This window comes from Homo sapiens, chromosome 3 (assembly GCF_000001405.40).
Source record: "Homo sapiens chromosome 3, GRCh38.p14 Primary Assembly".
Taxonomy (NCBI): Eukaryota; Metazoa; Chordata; class Mammalia; order Primates; family Hominidae; genus Homo; species Homo sapiens.
Window position 1 is genome coordinate 126,256,930 of NC_000003.12, and position 19,930 is coordinate 126,276,859.

General features: G+C 50.3%; 3 annotated features.

The window, feature by feature from the left end:
* Positions 1,297-2,204: an enhancer, noted in NCBI's record as "H3K4me1 hESC enhancer chr3:125977069-125977976 (GRCh37/hg19 assembly coordinates)". NCBI's record gives its function as "activates a minimal SCP1, AML or CMV promoter by ChIP-STARR-seq in naive H9 embryonic stem cells {active_cell/tissue: H9 hESC(naive)}" and the evidence as "EXISTENCE:reporter gene assay evidence [ECO:0000049][PMID:30033119]".
* Positions 9,779-10,488: an enhancer, noted in NCBI's record as "H3K27ac-H3K4me1 hESC enhancer chr3:125985551-125986260 (GRCh37/hg19 assembly coordinates)". NCBI's record gives its function as "activates a minimal SCP1, AML or CMV promoter by ChIP-STARR-seq in naive H9 embryonic stem cells {active_cell/tissue: H9 hESC(naive)}" and the evidence as "EXISTENCE:reporter gene assay evidence [ECO:0000049][PMID:30033119]".
* Positions 10,489-11,199: an enhancer, noted in NCBI's record as "H3K27ac-H3K4me1 hESC enhancer chr3:125986261-125986971 (GRCh37/hg19 assembly coordinates)". NCBI's record gives its function as "activates a minimal SCP1, AML or CMV promoter by ChIP-STARR-seq in naive H9 embryonic stem cells {active_cell/tissue: H9 hESC(naive)}" and the evidence as "EXISTENCE:reporter gene assay evidence [ECO:0000049][PMID:30033119]".

Genomic DNA, 19,930 nt, shown 5'->3' on the forward strand with positions numbered 1-19,930 from the left:
TGTGTCCTCACATGGTGAATCCCACTCCAAAGGCTCTGCCCTCATGACCTGACACTTCCCAAAGCCCCCTCCTCACACCATCATGCTGGAGGTAAGGATTTCAACGTATGAGTTTTGGGGGGACACAAAGAGTTCAGTCTGTAACAGGAGGCAGAAGAGCAAGAACTCTCAGGGCCTGAGCTGCCACGTGGTCCATGGGAAGCTAGACTTCAACTAACTCATGGACTGTGGACGTGTCACTCTGCCTCTCCCCTAGCATCAGAGGTGGTGGAGAAAACTCATGACAGTGAGTGAGCGCCACACCATGTGGTGTGTGCACGCTGGGTTCTCGGAGTGGCACTAGCCCTTTACCAGCCCTTTACGACATGGCCTGCAACACCCTTTGGAGCCGGCGTCTTTGCCCCATTTGAGATGCAAAGACTGAAGTGCAGACCAGGGCTGAGTGCTGGGCGTGGGGCTCCCTCTTCATGGTCACGGGTGACAAACGACTTTGGAACCCGCATCTGACACAAACCTGTACACTGGACTCCCACACTGAGCTGACGGCCCACAAGCCATAGAGAGAACCCTTCTCTCCCAATGGGGCCTTATCATGAAAATCACATCAGAATCCATACTTAGTCTAACAGCTCCAAACTGCAGCAGGTCACAGGGCAAAATCACTACCATCCTTCACAGGGTACCACACGGAACAGTACAGTGTGAGTTACTGGAGCCACTTCTATGTGCTGTATACACACTCACAACATATGCTATGTGTGCACACAAGCATGAACACACACTGGTTCATATGTAAGGCTTGCATATTGTTCTACAAGTAGCTCTTTTTTCCCCTTCATATATCACGAAACTATTTTCACAGTAGCACATAGATATGTACCTCATTCCTTTTCATGACTGGGTAGCATTTGTATTCACTAGCTTCTGCTGTATAACAAACCATCTGTGTTAGGGTCTCCAGAGAAACAGAACTATAGGGGTATGTGTGTGTGGAGAGAGAGAGAGTGTGTGTGTATGTGTGGATATGTGTGTGTATAGATCGATAGACATGTACCTACATAAAGTTAAAGAAATTGGCTCATGTCATTGTGAGAGCCGGCAAATGTGAAATCTGCAGGGCAGAGTGGCAGGCAGGGGCCCATAGAAGAGGTGATGTTGCAGCTCAAGTCTAGGGGCAGTCTGCAGGCAGAGTTCCTTGCTTTTCAGGGGACCTCAGTCTTTTCTCTTGAGACCTTCAACTGATTGGATGAGGCCCACCCACATTTTGAAGGGTCATCTGGTTTACTTAAAGTCTACTGATTTAAATGTTAATCTCATCTAAAAAATATCCTCACAGCAACAGCTAGACTGACTTTAACCCAAAATTGGCTACCACAGTCTAGCCAGGTTGACACATAAAATTAACCATCACACCGCCCAAAAACATAGCAACTAAAAACAACGATTTATTATTGCTTATGAATCTGTAGGGTGCCAGCAGGGGCAGGCCTTCTGCTGGTCCATCCAGGAGTCACTCGCATGGCTACTGTCACCTGTCTGCTCAATAGGGCTAGTGGGGCTGGGATGGCCTCTCTGGCGTGTCTGGCAGTTGGTGCTGGCGGTCGACTGGGGCACCTTAGTTTCTCTCCACATGACCCCTGCCCTCTGAAGGCTGGACTGGTCTTTCCTATAGCACGGTGGGCTCAGGGCTCTCAAAGGGTGAAGGGCCCCTCCAGGCCCGAGCCCTGGACTTGCACAAGGCCACTCTGGTACATTCTGTGTGTCCCAGGCCAGCACCTGTTGGAGGGTGGGAACCACATCCCCAGCCTCCTCAGCAGGACAGCAAAGTCACTTTGCAGAGGGTGTGGCCACAGTGGGTGTGACTCATCTATCCTCATGTGCGCCATCAGCCAGCTCCCCTCCCTCAGTTCACTTTCCATTTTTTGCTCTAAGAAAAAATACTTGCTCCTGGTGGGGCCTGTGTGGTGGCCTCAGGCAAGCCCTTCTGCAGGACAGATTCACAGAAGTACAACTGCTCAGATGCTCAGAGGCCAGGCAGCTGCACTTCCTGTGATGGGTGCTGCTGACACTTCCCCCACCCCCAGTCTGTGTGCCCCTCCCACTTGCACCTTGGTGTGAAAGGCCCCAGGTCCTCCTCTCCTCTGCCCTCAACAACCCATGGGCTTTTCTGTGTTTGCCAGTCTGGTGAGTAGCAAGTGACACAATAATATAATTTATGGTTTTAGTTCCTTGGTACTGGGGAAGTTGAGGGTAGTTTCATCTGTTCATATTGCTTCAATAACCAGAAAAATGTACAAAGATATCTACATTTTGAAATTAAAAGGTATCAAAAAGAAACAGGCTTTGAGAATCCCTGTGCCTCCACACTCCACACAGGGGGAAATTCAGCCATTTGTGCATCCTTTACTTGGGTTGGAGAAGGTTTTTCTTTTGTTCTTAATCTCAGAATTCCAGATGTCAGACCTGGAAGAGCATAAAGACCTCCTCGCTGAAAGCCCCACTTTATGCATGAAGAAGTGGGGCCCCCGGGAGGGCGCGGCCTGGCTGGTCTCACAGTGGCAGGTCCCAGCATCATCTGCTGAGGGGAAAGGGCTCTTCTCCAAGACTGGACAAAGCTTGCAGCCCCCAAGCACCCCAGGGACTGGTGTCTCCTGGTGCCTATCTAATGGCCTTCAGGTCCTGCACGGGCCCCACAGCCTGACCAGCGGGGGGCAGTGGAGGGCTGCTGATGGCCCCAATCCCGGTCTTCTGGAAACTCTTGCAGATGGGGTCGGGGGATACGGCCGTGCCCCCATGGCTCAGGTTCTAAGACGGGGCACAGACAACCCAAAACCACTAGAAACGCCTTAATAACTTGCCACACAGAGAGCGATGGGCCTCGCAAAGTCAACGCTGTTGGGTTTTCCTCCACCCTTGGATCGGATCGCTGTTTATGTAGCTCAGCGGAGAATTTCAGGACCTTGTTGCGTGAGCCATACCTATTTTTACACACTAGCGTCAGCCTCAGGGTGACAGTGGAGATCCAGGACGGAGACCTACTGTGGGGCAGGAGGTGCCAGGTTTCCATCCGTTGTGGCAGAGCACCTAGCATGAGTGCCACATCTCCCTCCTCCCTCCTCCCTCCTCCCCTCCTCCTTTTCCCCTCTTCCTCCCTCCTCCATTCTTCCCCTCTCCACCTCTTCCTCTCCCTCCCCCTTCCCTCTCCACATCTCCTTCCTCTTCCTCTCCTACCTCCCTCCTCCCTCCTCTATTCTTCCCCTTCCTCCCTTCTCTTCCCCCTCCCTCCCCCTCTTCCCTCTCTACATCTTCCTCTTCCCCCTCTGTTCTTCTTCCTCCTCTTCCCCATCCTCCCTCTAGCCCCTTCCCTCTCCACATCTTTTTCTTCCTCCTCCCCATCCCTCCTCGCTTCTTTCTCTTCACCTCTTCCCCCTCCCCCTCTTCCTTCTCCCCTCCTCCCTGTCCTCCTTTCCCTCCTCCTAACCCTAATCCAAGACTAACCTTAACCCAAACCCTCCTTGTCCTCCTCTCCCTCCTCCTAACCCTAATCCAAGCCTAACCTTAACCCAAACCCTCCTTGTCCTCCTCTCCCTCCTCCCTTCCCTCTTCCCTCTCCTCCTCCCCCCATCTTCTTCCCCTCCTCCTCCTTCCCCTCCTCCTGCCTAACCTCCTCCCTCCTGTAATCTTCCCCTTCCTCTCTCCTCTTCCTCCCCTTCTTCTCCCCCTCTCCCTCCCCCTCTTTCCTCTCCACATCTCCTCCTCCCCTACCCCTCTCTTTCTTCCTGCCTCCCCTTCCTCTATCCCCCCTTCCTTCTTCTTCCCTTCCTCCCTGTTCTTCTCCCACTCCTTCTCCCGTTTCCCCCTTCTTCTCCCCCCTCCTCCCCACCCTTCTTTCCTCTCTTCATCTTCCTTCTCCTCTCCTTCCTTCCCTCTTCTTTCTCCCCATCTCTTCCCCCTTCCCCTCTTCCTCCCCCTACTTCCCCTTCTTTCTTCTCCCCCTCCTCTCCTCTCCCTTCTCCCCCTCCTCCCTCCCTCCTCTTCCTTCTCCCCCTCCTCCTCCTTTTCACTGGTCTCTCCTGGGCTCTCAGGGTGTGAGTTTTATGTCTTCCTTTTCCTCTGAATCTTAGACTGTCTGTGTGTATAACTGATTGTGACCCAGTTCAATGTGTGGCTGATGCAAAGCCCCTGTGTGTGCGCCCTCCCTGGTGGCCCTTTCATCTCATTGCACAATGCAGAGTGGAGTTGCATCATCTCAGTGGCCCGGCCAACACAAAACTCAGCACACCCCAGGGCTTTCTGCTGCCTCTTGAGTAACTGTTCTCTGGCGGGCAAGGTGGGGCTGGGGGGTCTGAGACCCTCCTGCCAAGAGCAAGGCCCAAGCTGTCAGAGCTTTCTTTCCAGCCACTAGCATGTGGCCACCGCCACTTCCTCTCGTGCCCCCCTCACTCCCGCCAAGCCCAGCTTGGGCCACCCTGTCTCAGAGCCAGGGGCTCCCAGGCAAGGCCCCAGCAGAAAAGGCCCATGAAGATCGGCTCTCCATAGCTTCTCTAGGATGAGCCCTCTGGACCCCCAAGCTGAATGCCCCCAAATCCAGGCCTGTGCTCAAAATATAAGGCAAAATAAAATAAAATAAGCTAGAAGATGTTCACATTTCAAACTTAGATTTGTTTCCACAAACCAAAGACCTATATGCAGTGAGGATGAGTTTTAGCCCACAAAGGTGCGCATGTCATTTTAATGCAATTTGTTGCTCAAATTAATCTGTCTCCGTTTTCTATTTTAATTTAACCAAAATCCCAGTCAGTTCAGGGACCTCCACCCCTTTTCCTGAGCCCGTGTCCCAGCTGGCTTATCTACTGCCGAGGCGTGTCCTTGCCCTAGCATCTGCTGACAATATTGTCATTCCCTTCAGCTGTCGTTGTAGATGGAGTCTGCTTTTCCTTTCTACCCAGCATCACCTGATGAGTCCAGCCCTCTCCAAGCTAACATTGCACTCTCTCTCTTGTGTTTGAGAAACACTTTGCTGTTGGTTCACTTCTCCTCCCTGTGGGAAACAGAATACAGCCCCTCAGCAATGTCCATGTCTTGATCTCCCTAACCTGGGAATATGTCACCTTACATGGCAAAGGGAGATAAAATTTGCAGGCGGCATTAAGGTTGCCAAGCAACTGACTTTAAGGTAGGCAGATCATTCTGGATGACCCGGGTGGACACAAGGTCCTTAAATATGAAAAAGCAGGGCAGGCGAGCCAGTGGAAATGAGGTGATGTGGAGGAAGGGGCCAGAAGCCAAGGAGTACAGGCAGCCTCTAGAAGGGAAAAAGGGAAGGAAACAGAGCTTCCAGGGGGGAATGCAGCCCTGTCAACAACTTGATTTCAGCCCAGTGAGACCCACCGCAGACCTCTGACCTCCAGAATCATTAGAGAGTGGGTGTGTGTTGTTTGGAGCCACTAAGTTTGTGGCTATTTGTTACTGCAGCAGCAGGAAACTAATGCACTCCCCATTTTACAGATGAGTAGACTGAGGCTCAGAGAGGACAGCGAAGTTGTCTAAAGTCACAGAGGAGATAGATGACAGAGTTTCCTTCAAGGTGTGGCCAGGGCAGCATGCAGTGCACAGGTCGGCTGCACACACTAGGCCTGGGATTTAGCCTCATCTGCAGACCACACAGAGGGCTTACCATCAGCATCTCAAGGTTTAACCATAGGTCAACCAAAATTGAAAAGGCAGCACCCTTTCAGATCTCCCCCACCCATTGCACTGAATAACCAAGTGGACAAAGCATCTAGAAATGATGTAAGCCTAAATGCATATTTTGCAGGGGAAGGGAATTGGGTGTGTATTGAACACTTCACCTTCGTTTCAGATCCCCGTAAGCATTTCCTAACTCCCTTGGTACCATCGAATGTTTCCTACTCCCTCCAGGCAGTACTAGCCCCCTTTGTCTCTCCTCCTCCTTCTCTTCCTCCTCCTCTTCCTCCTCTTCTTCCTCAGGAGGAGGAACTTCCCTCTATTATGCAGAGCAATTCAGTTCCACTCTGGTCTCTGCTTTAACAATCATTCCCGCATCTATCATGGCTCCCATAAGTGCACAATGCTTGCATTAAGAGGATTGCCCTCCTTGGAAGGGCCTTATCAACCAACTTCCATGACTTGGGCAAGCCCTAGAGATGCCCCAGCCCCAGAGGTGTTATTTCTTCCAAATAAATACAGTGTTGTCCCAAGAGGAATTCTGGTATGTCCCCTTTTTTCCATCTGTGCATAGGTAGAGTGAGTTGGCTTGAGTCCTGCCACGCTCATGCCCCTCCTGGCCCCTTGCTTTCAGGTCAACACAAACTAGAATCCACCCAAAATGTCTGTGCCCAATTCTGGGCTCACACCATCTACACAGCATCTGTGTAGAAGAGACAAGATTGTGGCACTAGGGCCACCTCATGAAATTAGGGGAGGGAAAGAGACTTACAGAGTACTGAAGATGTGGGGACATGCCACACCTAACAGGCAGCTCCTTCTTATAAGTGGGCCCTGTCACCCCAGGGTGTGAGGATCCAGACCCTGGGTACTGGGAGAAAGAGGCAGACCTTCCTGGAAAGCAGGATCCCAGGTTGGGTCTCTATCCATGGAGAAGCTTGGAAGGGATGAGGCTAGAGGCCCTAAGACGCTCACGGCAGGGAGTGACCTCTCATCTTCAAGTGCATCATCCTAGCCCCAGTGCTGGGCACAGAAGTGGTGCCAGGGCCCTGGGGTGGCTCCCTACCTGTGTTGCCTCCAAGGAGGAGAAATGAAAGAAGGCCGGCCCGGCAATGTCCATGGAGACATGGCTCTTGCTTGGGGCATCTTGTTCTGGTTAACTCCGGCCCCTTCCGTCAATCCATTATTTGACGTTGGCCAGCCAGGTGCATCTTCTGGTCCTGGATGACTTCATCCTTGCAATGGAGGTGATGGCACTGCATTCGCAAGATGAGATGGCGTTTGGAGATGGACTTTGTAGACTGGAGCTTGCCATGCAGGGGTAGATTGGGGAGCAGAAGGGAGGAGGAGAGGCAGCTGGGGAAGCGGTAGGATGTTGGTTTGCACTTGTCTGGGTTCCACAAGGCCTGGGTTAATGTTCTGCCACCATGCAAGGATGCTCTGTCTTCTCTCAAGCATGTTCCCAGGACACCCGCTCTCTGGGAGACAGCAGCTTTAGCTTGTCTTTGCTCCTGCATCTGGGTACCTCTGACCCTGACACCCCTAGCCCACTTTCCCTGGTGCCCAACTGACATAGATGCCCCTCAGCGAGGCAGAGGAGGCCACTGTGGGTGGTGTGGCCAGAGGCTCCTCCAGCAGCCTAGTCTGTCGCACAGCAGACCTGTGGTGATTCCAAGGTCTGCCTATGCTCTGTTCTTATCATCAAAAGAACAAGGCATGGTAAACAGAGAAATGGAAGTGCAGACACTGGTGACAAGATACAGAGCTGCCCTAAACCCACCCCACCTGAATGAGACCAACATTCCTTGGGGGCTGTAGGAAGTGTCTGGGCTCACTCACTGGGGCACCGGCTGCATGTGCACCCCAGTGTGTGTGAGCACCCTGTTGTGTATGCCGGTGAGCACATCCCCAGGGCTGAAGTGTGAGCGTGGCCCCTATGTGTCCCAGTGGCACCGCTTGGCTCTCTCATCCACCGAACCCTGCAACCAGATATCCGATTAGGAAAGAAAAGGATGACCCTAAAATGCAAGTCAGGAGTGCCAGAGGAGTCATCAAGGATCATGTCTGAGAACAGTGAAGTGGATTAGGGATTCTGTCCTGTTTAGCTTGAAGTCTATCTGGCAGCTGGCAGCCACACAGGATCTCTTCAAGGGGGCGTTATGAACAGAAGTAGGAAACCGCTCACTTGGCTGCCAGAATTTGGAATGTGAGACGTTTCAAGCTGCATCCATTTCTGAAGAATCCGAGGTGTGTGCATGTCTTGATTTCAGCTGACCTTTCTCTCCAAACCCTTCCTACTCTGCCTCCTTCTGCTTAAAACACACACAAACACCCCGAGTTCTGAGTCAGGGAGTTAATCCACTTGGGTTGCCGACAGTCCCACCCAGCCGTGCTCTGGGGGCTGTCCCTTCCTGGACTTAGGACAGTGTGGGGCGCAAGCCACCTCCCCTGGAGGCTCCCGCTGCAAACACTCCTAGGGCCTAACGCAGATGCTCTATGAGCCCCCAGAAAGACAGGCCCAGCCTAGGAAGGCTGAGAGGATGGCTAGAGCAGTGGTAAGGTGCAGCTCACGGGCTGGCGGAAGGGGGCGGCTGGGCTCCGCGCCAAGCAGTGCTGCTTGGTGAGAAGGCAGGCCGAAGGTCAGATTCTCCCATTTTTCCAAAGTAAGATGAAAGTCTGGATTCTTATTATTTTATCTTAATAATATTTGTGAAAGGAAAATAAATCTTGGGGTCCCCAAATCACTAAGCTAAAGGGAAAAGTCGGGCTGGGAACTGCTTAGGGCAAACCTGTCTCTCATTCTATTCAGTCACCCTTCTGCTCACTGAGATAGATGCATATCTGATTGCCTCCGTTGGAAAGGCTAATCAGAAACTCAAAAGAATGTAACTGCTTGTGTATCACCTGTCTGTGACCTGGAAGGCCCCTCCCCACTTTGGGTCTTTCAGCCTTTGCTTCAAGTTGTTCTGCTTTTCCAGATCAAACCAATGTACTTCTTACATATGTTGATTGATGTCTCCTGTCTCCCTAAAAAGTATAAAACCAAGCTGTGCTCTGATCACCTTGGGCACATGTCGTCAGGACTTCCTGAGGCTGTGCACGGGCATGTCCTCAACCTTGGCAAAATAAGTAAACTTTTTTTTTTTTTTTTTGAGACGAGTCTCCCTCTGTCACCAGGCTGAAGTGCAGTGGCGCGATCTCGTTTCACTGCAAACTTCACCTCCTGGGTTCAAGCGATTCTCCTGCCTCAGCCTCCCAAGTACCTGGGATTACAGCACACACCACCATGCCCAGCTAATTTTTGTATTTTTAGTAGAGACGGGGTTTCGCCATGTTGGCCAGGATGGTCTTGATCGATCTCTTGACCTTGTGATCCGCCCGCCTCAGCCTCCCAAAGTGCTGAGATTACAGGCGTGAGCCTCCACACCCAGCCAAGTAAACTTTTTAAATTAACTGAGACCGGTCTCAGATTTTCAGGGTTCACATAATTTTAATTAATGTCATTTTAATATTACTAAAATTATATTACTTTATTATTTTACAAGCTTTAAAATTGTCGCAAGGCCAAACAAAACGTATCTGTGAGCTGGAAATATGTGGGGCACTGGGGACAGAGGCAGAGTGTCTCGATGGCCTCTGCTGGCATGTGGTGCCTGGCATGTTGTAGGCAGTCAGCAAACAGTTCCTGAATGAATGAATAAATGACTGGATGGATAAGTGAATGAATGAAAGGGTTGGCAGGATGCCCTGGTTCCCACGGGGCTGGGATGCTCACGTTTGCCCCGTATCCCAAGAGAGAACACTGTGTCCAGAGGGAGGTGGTGGAGCTGGCATGGACACAGGGCTGGCTGGCGGCCACCCGCGGCCAGGAGCAGGACTGGGGAGGCCAGGCGCTGCTTGGATCAGCCTTGGAGCCCCTATGGGCACTCCGGTTCTCCAGGCAACAGCTTCCAGTCCTTTAGCCCCTCATGTCACGGTTTAACACACACACAAGCCCCAAAAGAGGCCCCCCACTGCACCCCTCAACGTCCTCTCTGTGCAGCTTTTCCCAGCCCTTCACATCTGCAGGAGACTCAGTCCTGAGAGGCCAGGCCGGGATGGGCGGGGGCTAAGAAGGGAGGGAGGAACCAAGGTTTCTCCTCCAGCCCAGGGAGCCAGGGGCTGGCATTCTGTGTCCAGGACTTCGGGCCCTCTGTGAGCCTCTGTCCGCCAAGGCGATGGAGCTGTGTTTGGAGTCCCTCGTGAGTACAACACTCCACTATTGTGCCTGTGTGCACGCTGTGCCATGGATATGTGCGCCCCTTTTATTTGGGTACACAACCAGCTATGTTTTGTGTGTACACCACTGGAGTTATACGTGGGTAGGGGTGCACAATGTGCAGGCTTCTGGAATGTGAGTGTAGGTCTCCTTGTGTGCAAAAACCACCTACTATGTGCATCGGTTTGAAAAGACCATAGTGTGTGTTTGTACACCAATGTGTGTATGTGTGCCCCACCTGAGGTGTTTCTGTGCATGCAAAGGCTGCGTGTGCGCCCCTGTGTGTGTGCGCACCCTTTTGTGTGCATACACCCTGCTGTGTGTGCCGGTGCGCACATCCCCAGGGCCGAAGCGTGAGAGTGGCCCCGGTGTGTCCCGGCGGCGCTGCTTGGCTCTCTCGCCTCACTTTGAATGCTTACCGTCTGAATCTCCCACTGCAGACGTCAGGCCACGTGGCCCTGAGTGTTCGTGGCGGCCGGGCCGGCTCAGGGATCCCAGGCTGTGGCTCAGGGATCCCAGGCTGTGGCTCTGGGATCCCAGGCTGTGGCGCTGGGGCGGTGCGCTGGCCGTGGGTCGAGAGGTCGCTGCGCCCTGCATTCCTGGCCGCGCGCGCACAGGCTGGAATCCGTACATTCCATTCATAACATTCCCGCAAGCGAGGGGAGGAGACGCAAAGCCGGGGAGTGAGTGATTAAAGAAAAGAAAGAAGGGCTTCTTGCAGCTCCGGGCTGTGTTTTTTCCTGCGCGCCCTGGCGCAGTCCCCGGCTCGGAAAGGCAGGAGCACGTGAGCGGTTTGCAGAGCAGCCCGGCCCAGCCGCGCGCCCGTGGCCGGAGGCTCCATTTACCCTCCGCGGAGGGCGCTGTGCGGCGGCACTTAAGCGGCAGCTTCCTCTCTCCCAGGCGGCCTTTGTGGCTGTGGCCGGGACAGGGAAAAGCTGCCCAGGCCAAGAGGGCGGGGGCGTCAGGGGCAGCCAGCGCCGCCTTTGCGCAACTGAAGCGGATGAAGCCGCCTGCTCTCAGGTCTTCTAAGGAGAAGGTCTTTTTATCACTCCCATTTTACAGATGAGGAAATCGAGGCTCAGAGACAGGAAGTAGCTTGTGCCATTCATTAGGGTCCCAGGCCTGGTACCTCCTCCCGTTGATGGCAGTACCGATTGCCTTTGCAAGGACCCAGCCCTTCACCGTGTGTTTCTGCTCTCCTGACCCCCACATCTCCCTTAGCTCAGTGACACTCTCCTCTGGGACCGTCCTCTTCATCCTCCTGCATTTTCCAGCGCCCCTTCTCTTAGCACTGTGTGTGCCGTCCCACTGCCTCCCCCGCTGAGCTAGGCCTTCCCCCAGGACAGGTCCTGTGAACCACCTGTGCGAGGTCAGTGGGCAGCATGGATCCTAGATGTAGGTGGGCAGTGGGGCAGGCGGGGGTCTATCTGGGGGACGTCCTGACATATGGAGGGATGGAGCATGGCTTTCCTTGAGACAGAGCCGTGAAAACAGGAGAGAAGAGGGAGAATCTGACCTGGCACCCAGGTGGGCAGGGAGGCCCATGGGATGGGGGACGACCAACTTGTCTGGGACAAATGGTGCGAGACACTCTGCCACGACAACTCTGGCCACATCCCAGAATTGGGCAAGGGCAACATGGAGAAGGCGGCTTGATTCCAGGTGCCACTGGCCCTGGCCAGAGGTGAGGCTGGAAAGGGTGCAGGTTTGCTGTGGGCCTCTGAGGACAGCTTTCAGGAGCTGGAGGTTGGGGGCGGGGGGGGGGGGCGGGGAAAGGGGGGCAGCAGGGCAGCCCCTGCAGAGGGAACTGCAAGGAGAAAGGCTACATAGGAGGGAACATGGGGTGGGCCTTCGGGTCACCTAGCAGGCAGATGGGGACAACTGGGTGGTTAGATTATAGAGTACCTTCTTCAGAAGCCCGAGGGCAGAGCGATGTCTTTGCACGCCCTCTGCTACACTTCACACAGGCTGGCATCCTGTATTTGTTCAGTTGATTGTTCCTGTCTGCCTCCCAGATTCACCTGCAGAGCAGAGTAGGTGCTTAGAGGTTTGCTGATTGATGAAGAAGGTGCTAGAACAGGCTGGGCCCTAACACTCCCTGCTTTGTCAACCAAACATCAGGTTAAAACACCAGGTAGGAGCCTGTCCTGGGCTGGCGAGGGCTGGCCAGGTAATTGAAGGTCATCTCAGCAGGGCACTCCCCCCGCTCAATCGCCTAGAGCCATTCCCCAGTGTGGTGTGACCTTGGGCAAACCCCTTCATGTCTCTAGCCTCTGTGGGCAGCAGTGGTCCTGGTGTCTCCATCATGAGGGAAGTACAGACAGCACTAGGAATGCTGTCTGCACAGAGGTCACTCAGTAGAGGTGTGCTGGCTCTTTCTTCATCACTGACCTCTTCATCCTCCTGCATTTTTCTGGCCACGATGAGCTCCTCTGAAGCCGTCCTTCCAGCACAGAAACTCCAAGTTGCCCTGATTTGTGTTCACAAAGGCACCAGTTTTCAGCAGTTTAGAGGACTGAGTGGTTCTCAAAGTGGTCCAGAGAGCTCTGGGGCCCCGATACACTTTCAAGGCATCTTCAAGGTGAAAACTCTGTTCGTGACAATGTTAACATGTTACTTCTGTCTCATTCTCTCTCAGGGGTATGGCAGCAACTTCCAGCAGGTATGATGATGTCACTGCTCCGACAGCCAATGGGCAGGGGCCATGACGTCACCACTCTGACAGCATGTGTTCCTGGGCTTTAAAAGTTCCTCCAAAGTTGGTTAAGGGATACAGACATACAGTTAGGTAGAAGGAACAAGTGTTATAAGTTAACAATATTTTCTTGTATATTTCAGTATAGCTAAAAGAGATTTGTAATGTTCCCAACAGAAAGAAAAGACACATGTTTAAGGTCTTATATATCCCAGTTACCTTGATTTGATCATTGCACATTGTATATGTGTATCAGAATATCACATGTACCCCCAAAATATGTACAACCTAATATAGATCAATAAAAATAAATAAGCTTTTCATTTTCATTTCAAATACATTAAATACCAATAGGTGTAACTCACCATTTAAAAAAGGTCCTCAGCAATTTTTATTTAATTTATTAAGAGTGAAAAGGGGTCCTGAGACTAAAATTTTGAGACTCGCTGGATTAAATAGAGTTTAAATCCAGGTTCTGTCCCTGAACGTCTACAAGGCCTAGAGGAAATTACTTTAAACATGTGAAGCCTCAGTTTCTCTTCTTAAAAGGAGAGAAAAGGCACCTTCCTCATTGTGTGATGTGGCTCATTACTGAGACAATGCAAACAAAACACACAGACATGTGCCCAGCCCTCCTGCATGGTGGAGCTCTCCTTCCGGGTGGAGGCTGCCAGCTGCCCTGGCTTGCGCTCCAAGGACCAGGGTGCCCATGGACTCTGAAGGGACTCTTAGCAGCTAGCTCCTCAAAGGCTGGCCAACAAGGACAAGCAGAGCCCCTGCCCCAGAGCATTCATCCAGCCTGGCACCCTCCCCAGGCGGGCGCCCGGCCAGCTCCCTGAGTACACATTTTCCTACATGTCTAAGGTGTGAGAAAAGTAACACATTTGTTGTTGATCTTGTTGGAAAAGGCCTGGTTTTAAAGAGCAGTGTGTTTTTAACTTGTTGCGAAGTACATTCTGTAATTCCTGACCAAAATACCAACTGACGTTAAAAAAAACCTCCTTCATGGAAAAAATATTTTGTTTGGAGAGTGATCCTTAAACGCTAGTGGAGGGTGCAATGCCTCCTCCTAAGGCCATTCCAGGAGGGTCAGCCGTCCCCCCAAGAGTGCTGGGACTCAGCCTGGACAGCCTGGCTTCTGCCACAAAAGGCACAGAAGTCAAACATCCAGAGAAAACCACAGGGGAAAAGGAGCTATTCAAGTTGAAAAGAGAATTCAGTGAGGTGGCCAGTTACAAAATAAATATACAAAACTTTGCGGCTTGCCAAGTGCCCCAAAATAGTCGTAACAAAATATATTGGGGGAAAAAAGGCCCCATTCACAATTCAATAAGAAATTAGAAATTCCTAGGAGTAAACTAAACAAGGAAACACATACAGGACCTAAAGTCAGAGGGCTCCAACTATTACCTGAGAAGCACAAATTATTTAGTAAATGGAGAGATATATGTATACATGTCCCTGGATAGGAAGACACAATATTGCAAAAATGTCCATTTTCTGGCAATAAATATTTGAAAAGAAAACCAGAGCAGCAGGGAATGAGATTTGCCTTATCAGATATTAAAGCTAAAAGTCTTTTAAAAATTGAATTCCTGATGCCGGAATGCAGTGGCACAGAATCAGAACTCCACATGCCCACCGGAAGTTATGTAAGCATTTAATATGCGATAAGATGACCTTTCAAATTAGTGTGTAAATCATAGGCGTTTTTCAATAAACAGTTTGGGCAAATGGCCAATCCCTTGAAATGAAATAAAGTTAGCTTTCTGTTTTTCACTCTAGGTGGATTAAAGATTCAAACGTAACATGAAACCATAAAAACACAAGAAGCATATTTCAGTGAATATTTATGTAATCTTGGGGGTAAGGGAGAACTTAATAAATACGAAACCAGAGATTAAAACAATAAGGGAAAAGGTAAATGGGTTTGACCAGAAAAAAATTTAAAGTTTCACTGTGTCAATAAATACGAACCAATCTGTGCATTAAAAATGAACTCTAGTAGGTTTGACTGCAGACATTTTCTACTTCTTGATAATACGGGGCAAGATGAAACTTGCCACGTTCATCCAGGCAGGGAATATTCATCTAGTGATTGTAAAAAAAAGAAAAAAAGAAGAAAAAAAAAAAAGGCTGGGCACAGTGGCTCACACCTGTAATCCCAGCACTTTGGGAGGCCGAGTTGGGTGGATCACCTGAGGTCAGGAGTTCAAGACCAGCCTGACCAACATGGCAAAACCCCATCTCTACTAAAAAATACAAAAATTAGCCGGGCGTGGTGGCAGGCACCTGTAATCTCAGCTACTCGGCAGGCTGAGGCAGGAGAATCGCTTGAGCCCAGGAGGTGGAGGTTGCGGTGAGCCGAGATCGCACCACTGCACTCCAGCCTGGGCGACAGAGCGAGACTCCGTCTCAAAATAAATAAATAAATAAAAACAGAAAAGACTCCTGCCTTAATGGAGTAGACATCAAGAATGGGAAACAAACAACTAGCAAGAAAGCAAACAAACAAAAGACTGCTGATTGAAAACCTGGATCAAAACTCAAATTAACAACAAGGTTTGGGGCTGGGCTCGGGTTTACACCTGTAATTACAGTGCTTTGGTAGACTAGGGAGGGAGGAACGCTTGAGGTGGACAGTTCAAAGCAAGCCTGGGCAATATAGCGAGACCCTAAGTCCACAGCAAGTAAAACAATTAGACAGGCATAGTGGCTCATGCCTACAATCCCAGACCCTGCTACTGGGGAGGCTGAGGTGAGAGGATCGCCTGAGCCCAGGAGGTAGAGGCTGCAGGGAGCTATGATTGTGCCACTGCACTCCAGCCTGGGCAATGGGGTGAGACCCTGTCTTAAAAAAAAAAACAAGGTATTGGAGAAGCTGCTAATAACAGCAGATGGCAATCAGCTTGGAGATACCTATCCATACTGTGACTCAGAAGTTTTCTGAAATATTCATCTAGTCTTGCAGTAGGCTGTTTTCAGAGAAATCTTCCTCTGCACTTTTTTAGTATTTTTTTCATCATCCCATGCTATTTCCTTTTTCTTCTACTCATCACTGAAAGACTGAATGCTCACAGCCTATCACATAAATAATAACAAATAAATGTACAATTTCAAATGGTGCTATGGAAGAAAGTTCCTGATTGTAGATGGTCTATGGGTGTGTCTTTCTAATTTTAATAGTTTTCTGTTCATTTCAAGGTGTATTAGAAAGAATCATTTTCCATTTATGGGAGATATATGACATTATCTTTTTTGTAATCCTTCTTTTTCTTTTTTTTTTTAATTGAGACAGAGTTTTGCTCTGTTGCCCAGGGTGGAGTGTAGTGGTGTGATCATGGCTCACTGCAGCCTCAACCTCCTGGTCTCAAGTGATATTCCTGCCTCAGCCTCCTGAGTAGCTGGGACCAAAAGTGTACACCTCCATACATAGCTGGTTTTTAAAAAACTTCTTGCAGGGATGGGGTCTGGCTGTGTTGCCCAGGCTGGTCTGGAACTCCTGGGCTCAAGTGATTCTCCTGCCTTGGCCTCTCAATGTGCTGGTATCACAGGCACGAGCCACTTTACCTGGCCATTTCCTTTGAAATAAATATATTTCAGTAAGGACTTGATTGGAAGAACAAGATTACATACATACTAATACAGGTGGTTCAAGTGCATGGGGAAATTCATGACCTTGACAAGGAAAAGGGCATTGGCGAGATACTGCTGACCTCAAAGAGCAGCTGCAGAAAGGCTTGGCTCAGGCTGCCTGTCAGGACCACTAATGAGAAACATTGGGAGATTAGACAAAGAGGTCTAGACAAAGTACAGGGGCTTGAGCTGGGGCAGGGGAGCAAAGGGGTGATTCTGGAGGGGTTGAAGACAATCAAGGGAGTGGGTATGGAGGATAAGAATAAGAATATCTCAGCTATGGCAGAAAAGCCTCCTGGTACAACCCTGGCCAGGCTTGAACAGAGGCAGTGGTGAGGGGCTCAGCTCTGATGCCAGGCTTCCTGGGTTCAAATCCCAGCTTATTCTTCCTAGTCGAGGTAGTGGCTCTCTCTGTCCTTGGCTTTCCCAGGTGTACAATAAGGATGATAAGAGTGGCCATCTCATGGAACACTGACTATGCCTTAACTTCTTTCTCTACAAAATGGAGCCATAAATAACCCCTTGCTCATAGAGAGGCATGAGTGTTGAGTGATTCCTAATGTGAAGCGCACAGAACAGCTCCCTGTGGAGGCAGCACTCAGTAGTCGTCACTTCCATTCCCTCTGCAGATTCCCATCCTGACCACTGCCCATATGAATGGGAGGATGCACAGACACCTAGGTGGGCTACCCTGCATTTTCCAACCCCTTTTACCCTCTGATCTGCTCAGTGTCCTAGGAGGGTCACCTCTAGGGGCCCTCGCCCTTGGGGTCCTGCAGGACAATGGGAAGCTCTGACATTGGCTGGCAGGATAAAAGTCCCAGGTTGTCCTGCCCCCACACCCAGCCCTGTGGGCATATTTTGGGAGTGGCTTCCTCTTCTTCGTCCCTGCAGGCCCAGGAGGCTCACATCTCTCCCTCCAGGGCTCCACCATCTTGTTGGTCCCTTCCCTACTGGCCACTCCCTGTTGCTCACCAGCTCCTACCTTAAACTCTCTTCTGGCACCCCTTGCAGTGACCCTCTGTGCCTGCCCGGCCTTCCTGTGACTGAAGTCCCACACGAGTTTTGTCTCTATCTGCACAAAGCTCTGCTTGCTCCCTCTAAACCTTCAGTTTGCAAGCTCCCAATCAGCTGCAGAAGCTCACCTTGGGGCCCTACCCTACACCCTCCCGCCCCCAACGGGCCCATTTCCCTGGACCTGCCCCTCTCAGGCCCCATCCTGGCGCCTGTGTGGTCTCCTTCAGCAAGATTCACAGCTCTCCCACAGCAGGATGGGACTAGCTCTTTGCTCTGCTTCCCACCCACCCCCATGGTGGCGGAAGACCAACCTCCAATAGCCTGGTAAGAATTATGTCCATTGTTAAGTCAGAATTTGCTTCACTGCAGGGTGAAACCAGACCACAGAGAACCTTTTGAATGTCATGTTAACCCTGGAAGTGATGGGAAGCTCTGCTCAGAAGGTGTCTGAGTGAGCAGGGGTGGGCTGACACTAAAGAGAGGAAGCTGCTCACAGACCAGACCCAGAACTGCTCACCCAACCTTGCTGTCCCCAGCAGCCTCCGTCTGTTCCTCCCCTCCCTCCCTCCCTTCCTCTCTTCCTTCCTTCCTTCTTTTTTCTTCCTCCCTACTTTCATTCCTTCCTTCCATCCTCCCTTCTGCTTCCTTCTTCCTTTTTCCTTCCTCCCTCTTTCTTCCCTCTTCTTTCTTGCCTCCCATCTTCCTTTCTTCTTCCCCCTTTCCTTCTTACCTTCTGTTCTTCCTCTTTCCTCCTTCTTTCCCTCCTTCCTTGCAGCTTTCTTCTTCCTTTTTCTTCTTCCTTCCTCCTTTCTTCCTTCATTCTTCTTTTTCCCTTTCCTCTTTCCTTTTTTCTTTTTTCCTTCTTTTCTTGGGGTCAGGAGGTGTTTCGTGGCTTGAATAGACACAGTTCAATACTGGTATTGATAGCAAATTTCAGCCACTCCTGACACAGTCTCCCCTACCCAGACATTGCGGAGGCAAAGTTTGTGAAACACGGCAAGGTTTCAACAGTGTTGGAAATTGGAAATATTGCTCAATAGCTCATCAGAGGCCTTCCCTGAGCATTAGCGTGTGACAGCTGTGTGGGGCAGCCAGCTATCTGATGCCTTCCTCCCCCATGGCCACGCTTCGTTTCCAGCACCACCTTGAGACTGCAATTCCCAGCCACCTAAGCAGCCCCAAGAAGAGCCCTCTGAGAGGCCACACTGACCTACTGGGGGAGCCCAGGAGACCCAGGGGCCTTGCGCTTTGGGTTTTGATTTTTCTTGCCAGAGGAAAACCCTGCAGATTGCTGCAAGCTGCGGGAATAAACTCATGCCTTTGTGGAAGAACAGCCAGACCACAGGCTCTCAGAAGACTCAACTCTCAGGACAGCAGAGGCTCACGACACTAAAGCCTCTAGGCCACCAGGAAGTTGGCAAGAAATGTTTTGCTCAAGTTACCCTTCTTTCAAGAGGTAGCGGGAGGGGCAGTCATCCACTCTGTTTACCAACAAGCACCAGGTCCATATGGATCTCCTCTCCTTCAAGTAGGAGTAAACAGGGGGAAATGAGGCCTGAAAAGATTCTAGATCAGAGAAGACAGAGACTGAATGTTCCGCCATGGGCAAAATTGAGGAAGTTGTCAGGAAGCTACACTCACAGAGGAAGAGCATATTTGTTGAGACTACTCACTACAAAAGCAAAATGTACATTTCAGCAAACATTTGCAAAGCAATCTCAATAAAACTCTAAAAAACTGGAAAATCTGTGAAACAAGATATGAGTGCTAATAAGGCAAGAAGCGAAGATTATATGGGAGATGTCGAGGGGCAAGATATGAATAGATTTTTACCTTTTCATTTGGAAATGAAAGAATGAAGGAAAATGGTAAGAATAAGAATAGTACAAAGAGGCCGGGTACAGTGGCTCATGCCTGTAATCCCAGCACTTTGGGAGGCCGAGGCGGGCAGATCACGAGGTCAAGAGATCAAGACCATCCTGGCCAACATGGTGAAACCCCGTCTCCAGTAAAAATACAAAAATTAGCTGGGCGTGGTGGCGCATGCCTGTAATGCCAGCTACTTGGGAGGCTGAGGCAGGAGAATCACTTGAACCTGGGAGGCAGAGGTTGCAGTGAGCCGAGACTGCACCACTGCACTCCAGCCTGGTGACAGAGTGAGACTCTGTCTCAAAAAAAAAAAGTACAAATGCCCACTTATTATTTACCCAGAGTCACCTATTGCTAGCATTTTGCCACAGTTGCTTTACTATCTTCTCTGTCTATATGTATGTGTGTGTATACATGTACACACATAGGCATGTATATACATGAACACACATACATGTATATATACATATATATATCTACATATCTATCTATCTATCTATCTATCTATCTATATATATATATATATATATGTAAAATTTCTTTCTGAACCATTTCAGGGTAAGTTGCATAAATCACAGGCCTTTACCCCTATTCCAGTGTGTATTTACTAACAATAAGGCATTTTCATTTATTGTGCTGTTACTGATTTCAGTGGCTTTTACATTGATATATTTCTTTCTCAAGTCCAATGTCTATATGCCAATTTTGTCTGTTGATCTCATCATGCCTTTCATAGTATTTCTTTCCTTCAGTGCAGGATCAGGTTT